This window comes from Homo sapiens, chromosome 16 (assembly GCF_000001405.40).
Source record: "Homo sapiens chromosome 16, GRCh38.p14 Primary Assembly".
Taxonomy (NCBI): Eukaryota; Metazoa; Chordata; class Mammalia; order Primates; family Hominidae; genus Homo; species Homo sapiens.
The window spans coordinates 86,360,087-86,368,839 of NC_000016.10; the positions used below are offsets into that span (position 1 = coordinate 86,360,087).

General features: G+C 45.4%; 2 annotated features.

Annotated features, from left to right (window-relative positions):
- Positions 1-501: an enhancer, noted in NCBI's record as "H3K4me1 hESC enhancer chr16:86393693-86394193 (GRCh37/hg19 assembly coordinates)". NCBI's record gives its function as "activates a minimal SCP1, AML or CMV promoter by ChIP-STARR-seq in primed H9 embryonic stem cells {active_cell/tissue: H9 hESC(primed)}" and the evidence as "EXISTENCE:reporter gene assay evidence [ECO:0000049][PMID:30033119]".
- Positions 8,086-8,255: an enhancer, noted in NCBI's record as "experimental_46360 CRE fragment used in MPRA reporter constructs". NCBI's record gives its function as "activates a minimal promoter by MPRAs in K562 erythroleukemia cells, with activity observed for both the introgressed and non-introgressed 16:86401863 variant alleles {active_cell/tissue: K562}" and the evidence as "EXISTENCE:reporter gene assay evidence [ECO:0000049][PMID:34662402]".

Genomic DNA, 8,753 nt, shown 5'->3' on the forward strand with positions numbered 1-8,753 from the left:
TGTTTTGTTCTGAGATGCCATTTATTATTTGGCTACAAAAAGCCTGTGTCAGGGATGCTCAGTGGGTTCCTGAAGACACAGAGACTTTAGAAGCCCCTTGAAGGGCAAGTTATAGCTACAGACCTGGACTCTGGGGACACAGGCCCCTCCAGGACTAAGGGCTGCTTGTAGCCATGGCCGCTAACACGGTTGAAACGATTCCTGCCTGCCGAGAGCTTTGTCTTCATCAGCTCGTGGAATCCACACAGCATTGCACTGTGCTTCTCCCATTTCGCAGCTGAGGAAACTGAGACTCAGGGCAGTGAAGGATCTTCTCCAGGACCACACAGCTAGCACGTGATAGCTGTGTAGAATGGAAAACCAGGTCGGTCTGATGTAAAATCACACGCATGTACATGTGCACACACACACATGCACACGGGCAGCCTCTTGATCACGCGTGGGATTTTTGTTTTGCAACCAGTAAAACAGTGACCTGCTTTTATTTTTAAAAATTTTCTTTCATTTTTGAGACAGAGTCTCACTCTGTCACCCAGGCTGGAGTGAGGTGGTGTGATATTGGCTCACTGAAACTTCCACCTCCTGGGTTCAACTGATTCTCCTGCCTCAGCCTCCCGAGTAGCTGGGGTCACAGGTGCCCGCCACCATGCCCGGCTGATTTTTGTGTTTTTAGTAGAGACAGGGTTCACCATGTTTGCCAGGCTGGTCTTCGACCCCTGACCTCAAGTAATCTGCCCACCTCAGCCTCCCAAAGTGCTGGGATTACAGGTGTGAGCCACCACACCTGGCCAGTGACCCACTTTTAACTGCAGGCTGGACCCCAGGTCTGCAGGGTTTCTGAAGCTCAGGTGAAACACAGGTGACAGATGATCACTGTCTCTCCTGGCCCTGGGTGTAATGTCTGCAAACAGGGCAGGCAGCCCACTCACTCAGAGCCCCGGTCACCAGGACCCCTCAGTGGGAGGACAGACCTTAGGCAGGGTAAAAGGACTCTGATCAGCATCTGCAGTGCTGTTAATAAGCTAAATCATGAACTCACGTAGAAAATTGAGTCATCGCCTCAAATGGGCAATTCAATAAAGGAAAACATGGAAATCGACAGCATAGAAGAAAACTTTCCCTTCTCACCAGTAATCCAAGTCACACACGTAATAAACACAGAACGGTATTTTTTTCATTGATTAGTTTGGCAAATACTTTTTTCAATGTTAATACACAATGTCGGAGAGGAGAATAGAAATTGTTGCACGTTTTACATGTTTCCAGAGGCCATGAGAGTAATTTGTAGATTTTGATCCAGGAACTTTATTTCTAGGAATTTATTAGGGAAAAAACCATAAATGTGAAAATTGATTTGCATACAAAGATGTTCATTGCAGCAAAAGTCATTGGAAATAACCCAGAGTATTTCTGAGACAATGTCCTCCCTGTTGCTACCTCTATTTATCCATCCCCACTTCCCCCATCTTCTGTGTGCTTTGCTTCTGGTGACCTGCACCTGTGACTCTCTTTGAAGTCCTGTTCTTGAGCTATAGGGGCTGCTTCACTCGTAGATGCACAGGAGGCTCCTCGGACCTTGAGACCCTCCTGAGTGGCCCTGGCCAGTGACTGACGAGGGCAGGGCCAATAAAGCCCCAGCTGCCTTAAGAACAATGAGCAATGCTGCCGAAAAAGGCTCCGGCTGGGACCGTGCCTGAAATGGCAACTGCTCAGCTTGTCCTTCTCTGTCCTGCTTCCACTGCTCCCTCACTCATCTCTCTGGGAAGTCTTTCTTCCTTGATAAGCCACCCACATGTGGATCCTTATATCATGGTCTGCCTCTACAGAACTGATTTTAGACTGTTTAAACTAAGCAATGCCAGTGGTAATCAGATGTTCTTTCTTTGGTCACCAACTGTCCCCTAACGTGGTTGAAGTCTATAGAAAGCCATCTAAAGCACCCTGAGGATGACACAGTGGTTTGTATTTAGAGGCAATGCTGTGAATAAAACATTTATTTTCAGACTGGTGAATTACTTTGCTTCTGTAGTCTACCCTTTAAATATCTGACTCTTTTCTTTTTTTGTTTGAGACAGGGTCTTGCTCTGTCACCCAGGCTGGAGTGCAGTGGCGCAATCTCAGCTCACAGCAGCCTCAACCTCCTGGGCTCAAGCGATTCTCCCACCTCAGTCTCCCAAGTAGCTGGGACTACAGACATGTGCCACCATGCCCAGCTAATTTTTTAATTCTTTTTGTAGAGATGGGGTCTTGCTATGTTGCCCTGGCTGGTCTCAAACTCCTGGGCTCAAGCAGCCCTCCTGCCTTAGCCTCCCAGATTGCTGGGATTACAGGTGTGAGCCACCATACCCAGCCTGTCCATTTTCAAAACAATTCTCAGCTTGCTTCACATCGCTGAAATTATTGATTATCCACACAACATTTATTCTTCCCTTATTTCTTATTAACAGAGCCAAGTTTTAATGGGCATCTAAAAAACTACATTTCCCAATCTCCCTTGCAAATAGGTATAATCATGTGACGCCATTAGAGCCAACTGGCTGTACGCATCATTGCCCCTAGAGTCAAACAGAATCTGTTCATTTGACCTTCACTTACTCCCGTCTTTCCACCTGGAGCAGGGATGGGCTGGTGGAGATGTCGCCACCATCTTGACACCATGAGGTAACAATAAAAGAAAGTTAGAGAAAATGGAAAAGATCTCGACTCTGACAGCGTTGTATTGAACCAATGCTATTTACTGCAGCCTTAGGATTTCTCAGCACTTGAGAAAAAAAAAACTCGTACCAACTGTGTTCAAGCCACCAACTGGTGGGGGTGGGGTGAGGTCGGGGGGTTCTGTTAGTGGCACCCAAATGTGATTCTTTGATATACTCCATCACATCAAGGGAAGGTTCTGATGGCCAACTTTCCAGAACAGACCCTTTTTTGGGCTTTTTATGCACCCACAAAACCCACTTTCAGAAATGCCATTCTTCCTCTAATCAGACAAAGAATGTTCCAGCTTCCTAGGGACCCACAGGCTGTTGGAAGAATTCCATGTCTCTCTCTGTCATCAGCATGCTCCAGCCCCTGCCTGGAAGGGTCTGAAATGACAGCCTTTAACTCACCACGCTGGTGAGGAAACATTCCCTGTCTACCACATGTAATCCCAGCAGGAAGACGAAAACTGGCATCCAACGTGGCCTGTGTACTCAGAGAAAAAGAATTTATAGGAAACAGAATCTACCTCTTGCTCAACCCCTAGAACAAAAACCCAGTGCTTAATCAGATTATTATAGCAAATATGCCACAACAGGGACTCGTTAAATGAATTTGGATACCTTTCTATGATGGAAAACTATTCATTTACAATGAGGCCATAAAATACTTAATGCATGTTAAAATGTTCACAGCATATTGAGTGGGATGAAGGGTTACAAATAGCCATGTAGAATACAGATTTTAAGTACACACAATATACAAAACAGAAAAAAAGTACTAAAAGGGAGTTGTATTCAACATTTAATAGGCATTTTTCTTTAGCGGGATTATACGTGATACCTACCTTCATTGTTTGTTGCCTGGATAAAAGAAAGAACAACGTGATCAGTAAGCTGTAACCCTCTGTATTTTGTACTCAGATTAATGGATCTGATTTCAGTTGTAAAGAGGTCAGCTGGGTCCCTGGCAAATTTTATCTTCCACCATTATCCAAACAAAATTGGCTAAATATACTTTTAACAACAGGGCTCTATGGGTGCCACATGTCCACCCCCACCCCACCCCACCCACCACCTTTTTTTTGGGAAAATCCCCGTTTGCAGAAGGTTTTCATCCTGACACGCTCAGTAAAAACATAACTGGACACGGCTGCTTGCTCATCAATCCAACTGGCTCCTCTAAGCCATTCAGAAGAGTGGTTTTTACTTCTTCAGCTCAAACCATTAGGGAAGCATTTATAGAGCACCAGATGTTTGCTTCCTCTGAGGGTATCCAGAAAGTCCTCAAGGCTGCTGGCTTCTTTTTTGCTCCTGCAGGGAAGAAAACTAACTTCCAAGGAGGAGAAGGAGGACTGAGGGCAAACTCACGATGATCATAAGTAGGATCTTTCCAAAAAGTTCCAGAACTATCTGAAAACGATGCCCATGCATCTCAATAAATCAGAGTCTCTTTTAATGAGACTGGCAGCCCTGTGCCTATTTTTAAAAGTTTATGACCCTGAATTTGCGAGGAAAAGCAGCCAGGCATTGCCCGGAGCTGTGCAGAGCGAAGCATTTTAAGTTTCCATCTCACTCCTGAGAGGCAATCCATCATGATAAGGAGGGGCAGGGAGGGAAGGAGCTGAGCTCCCTGCAGCCTCCCGCCTGGCGTAGCTGTTTAAGTGGCAGGCACTGCAAGCCCAGTCCATTAACCAAAAAAGGGTGCTGCGCCTGAGCTATTTCTAGCTCCCTGCCAAGGCTCAGAGAGGCACAGACCTGTGGATTCCTGCACAGTGAAGTGTCCCGCCTGGCATCATCTGACATAGGCTTTCTCCCCCGACACCAAGAGCTGGAACAACCTTGTTCAGAGAAACACAAATAAGTACAAGAACGGCCTTATTGGGTCTCGTTATTAGGTATGAGTCTCCTGTGGCTGCTGTAACCACCAAAAACCAAGGGAGCTCCAAACGATAGAAATGTATTCTCTCCCGGTTCTGGAGAGCAGAAGTCTCAAATCAGGGTGTGGGCAGAGCTGTGCTCCCTCTGGACGCCTTTTCCCTCTTCCAGCATCTGTTGGCTGCTGGCGCCCCTTGGCACGTGGTGCATCGCTCCAGTCTGGGCTCTGTCTTCCTGGCATGCTCTCCTGGTCTTCTCTCTGTGTGTCTCTGATCTTCGGGTTTAGTGGCTGCCTGGATAACCTGGGATGATCTCATCTTGAGATTCTTAATTTCATTACATCTGCAAAGACTCTTTATCCAAATAAGGTCAGCTTCACGGGTTCTAGGTTTAGGACATGGAGGTATCTTTCTGGAGGCTGCCATTCTCTCCACTATATCCAAACAGGTGTCCATCTCTTTCCAGGAAGCACTCCAACTCATAATTCCAGGGCATGACCCAGTGATCCCAAGTTCAGCCACCCACCCACCCCCAGGTGACATCATCCACACCTCCGGGTACCAGTGGCAGCCTCTCCACTCTTGCCCTCAGAGTCCCTGGGTCCCACAGATTCGCATGAGTCTTAGACCCGTTAAGAGCAGGGACTCTGAAGTCAGCCTTCAGTTCCAGTCCTGGTTCTACCATTTATGTTACCTGGGCCTCAGTTTCTTCCTCTGTAAAGTAGGCATAATCAGAGTGCCTATTCCCTAGGACTATTGTGAAAATTTAAAAAGCTGCTATTCATAAAAAACAGGGCCGGCACCCACTCAATAAATGCGGCCTTGAACTTGAATTCTTCCATGTCTTGATTTGGGGTTCTAGATTCTCGACCTTTCAACATCAAGTCTAAGAGAGCTAGCCCGTGCTCCTTGGTGGATCAAAGATGGGTTCATGTTCCAGAGCAACAACATCTCAAACCACTGAAATCCACAGAGCCCTTCGTTCCAATGTATTTCCACAACACCGCATACATCAAGCAGATAAACAGAGGCGTAGCTGTGGCAGCAGCTGCTGTGGGGAGGGTGCGGCAGAGCCTGGACCTCCCAAGAGGCTTTTCTGTCCGTAGGCAGCTGGGTGCCAGGGTCCACGGCCTGTTGAGGTGAAGCAGGCCAGGAGGGGGCCTTCACAGTTTATTCTGCCACAGAGCAGCAATTATTTCTTATTTCCTTGCCCCATCTTTCCTCAAATATTCCAAGTCCATGTAGAAAGCCCACCTTAGCTCACAAACCATCAAGAAAAGTAAAGGCGAAGGAACTAGACAGAGAAAGATTTCACATATTTGTTTTTTTGAAAAACCCCACATGTTCATTGTAGGAAATTTGGAAACCACAGTCAAGCACTTAAACTGAAACAAAAATCAGACGCGGCAGTGATGGTTCAGTCGCCTCCGTCCCGCCTTCCGCAAATAACCTCAGCGTGTCTGTAAAGTCAAAGGTTGTTATTATTTACACTTGAATTTACTTCAAATGGTCATAGTTTTTCTAGATCACCAAATAAAACGCTTAATTTTTAAATCATGACACACGTACTTCCTCGTAAACTGTTTGTCCTATAATTATGTTTTGCAAACACTTCTGACAACTTTAAATATTTTTTTCTTTCTTTTAGAGGAGAGGCAGGGGTCTCGCTATGTTGCCTAGGCTGGTCTCAAACTCCTGGCCTCAAGTGATCCACCCACCTTGGCTTCCCAAAGGGCTGAGATTACAGGCGTGAGCCACCACGCCCAGCTAAATATTTTAAGAACATAATTTCTCACCATACAAAGCATTTACTTGCGGATATGGCCCATCCTTTATTTGCCCAATTACTGTTTACTAGTTATTTATGTAATTGCCATTTTTAGGACACACACACACACACACACACACACACATTTAATGTTGTAATAAATCTATCTATCTCTCTATCTGTAAATATTTGCAGAACCTCTGAGTATTTCCTTTGAACCAATTCCTACAAATATGATTATTTTTGAAGACATGCACTTTTTAAGGCATTTGATACCCTTTGCCAAATTGCCCTCCAAAAAGATTGTAACAATTTACAATTTTACCAGCAATATATGATAAGAGTACTTTTCTCAAACGTTTCCTATTGAATACTGTAATTTTTAAAAACTTAGCCAATTTGGCAGACAAAAAAGAAAGAACATCTGTGTCTCTGTGTGTTTTCTTGTTATTGTAGATGATTAGTTTTCTATGTTAGTTGGCCAGTGGGATTTCTTCTTTTATAAATTGCTTGATAATACTTTTTGCCCTTCACCTCTTAGGGTGATCGACTTTATCTTCCTGATTTTCAAGGGTCATCTGCATTTTAAGGACAGTGATTTGCCTTATCCCTTCATTACAATAGGTCTCTTAGCCTTCCAAAGGCCAATGAGAAAGTTAGACCATCTTTCAAGGATGTTGGTAACATTTTCCCCAATTTGTTGTTTACTTTCTAATTTTGTGATGGATTCATAAAAGGATTTTACATAGTCCAATATGTTAATCTTTTTCTTTATGATTTCTTTCTCTACCTATAAAATTCAAAAGGTATGCAAAATCCACTTTTTCCCACCTGAGGTGGAAAAATCTAGTAAAGATTAAGACTGAGTAAAACCACGTTAATCCAGGAATGAAATAAATGAATGAGATAACATCATAACCCATGCTAGAAAAAGAAAGTTCAACTTGGCTTTTAGATTCCAGTTGAGTTCAGGCTTTGTGTTTTGTTTATTAACTCTCTTTTCCTGAATAATGAATCTATGTTTAAAAAATGCCTTCTCAGATTTGCTTGGTACGGCAGCTGAAATTGTTATTCTAATGTAACAAGGGATTTCTTTCCTCTCCTCCCTCCTAATCAGGGTATCTCTTTAAGCATATCCACATGGAGGTTTTCATAGCTCAGTCCCAGATAAAGGAAAGAAACACATAACTGCTTAAATCCTTAAACTGCTTTCCCGTAATTGGGAATCAGAGGCCAAATGCCCTGACACATTTGGGCGATAGTCTTCGCCTTATAGGGGTCTTGCTTAAGCTCTTTGTAAAGTGGGTGCCAAAATCACCTTATTGTACTAGGATCCCAGCTACAACCTCATGCCCTTACTCCCAAGGGCTCGGTTTCCAGGTTAAGGTGCTGCACATCTGCTCCCCTTTTCCAGGGAGTGTTTCCAGGGAGTGAGACTGTGTTTACATTTGTAGAGACTCATTTATCACTAAACGCTGAACCTCTTCCAGGTCAGTGCGTAACACACGTGCATGCTCTCAAATCACCGGGGACTTTGTGAAAATGCAGATTTCCAGGCTGCATCTCTGATGATGCTGCTTCAAAGGGGCTCGGGGGAGCACAGGCATCTGCATTTTCAACAGTACCCTCACGAGCTGCTGCTGCTGCTGGTTCATGCGCTACCTTTTGAGAACTCCCTTCCCAGGCCAAACCCTTCATCTCAGAGTGGAGGAGAAGTCAACCAAAAGTGGGAAAATCTGCTTTTAGATTCTCGCCCCAAGAATCCGAGGCCAAATCCAGGCTTGTTGTCTGGATTCTAATTTCCAACCCAACCCTCCCAGGACCCTGCCTTCATGTGGGAAATCCTCCGAATCCCACCCTGCATTGCTGCAGAGTGTCCGATTTTCCCAAATTCTTCGTTCGTGGGTCCCCGTCCAGAACGGCCATGGCGTCAGGTGGTATATTGGCCTCCTGTGTCTGCTGCAACAGAAATGTATTCTCCCAGTTCTGGAGGCCGGAAGTCCAAAGTCAGGGTGCCAGCAGGGCAGAGCCCCCTCTGAAGGCTTGTCAACTTCTGGCTGTTGGTGGCAGTCCCCGGCTTTCCTTGGCTCGCAGCTTTACGACCTCCGTGTCTGCCTCCATCATCACCAGCCTCCCTGCTGTCAGTCTCCTGACTTTCTCCTCTGTGTGTCTCTGCCTGTCCCTCTCCTCTTCTTCTATGCACACCAGTCATTGAACTAGGGCCCTCCTGGCCCCGGTATAACCTCATCTCAACTAACGACACCTGCAAAGACCCTGTTTCCGAATGAAGTCACATTCTGAGGTTCTGAGAAGGACATGGATTTTGGGGACCCTATTCAACCAAATATATGTGGTTAGAGAAGTGTCCAATGCTAGAGGGAATGATCTGAGGGCCCGTCCTCACCCGGAGAG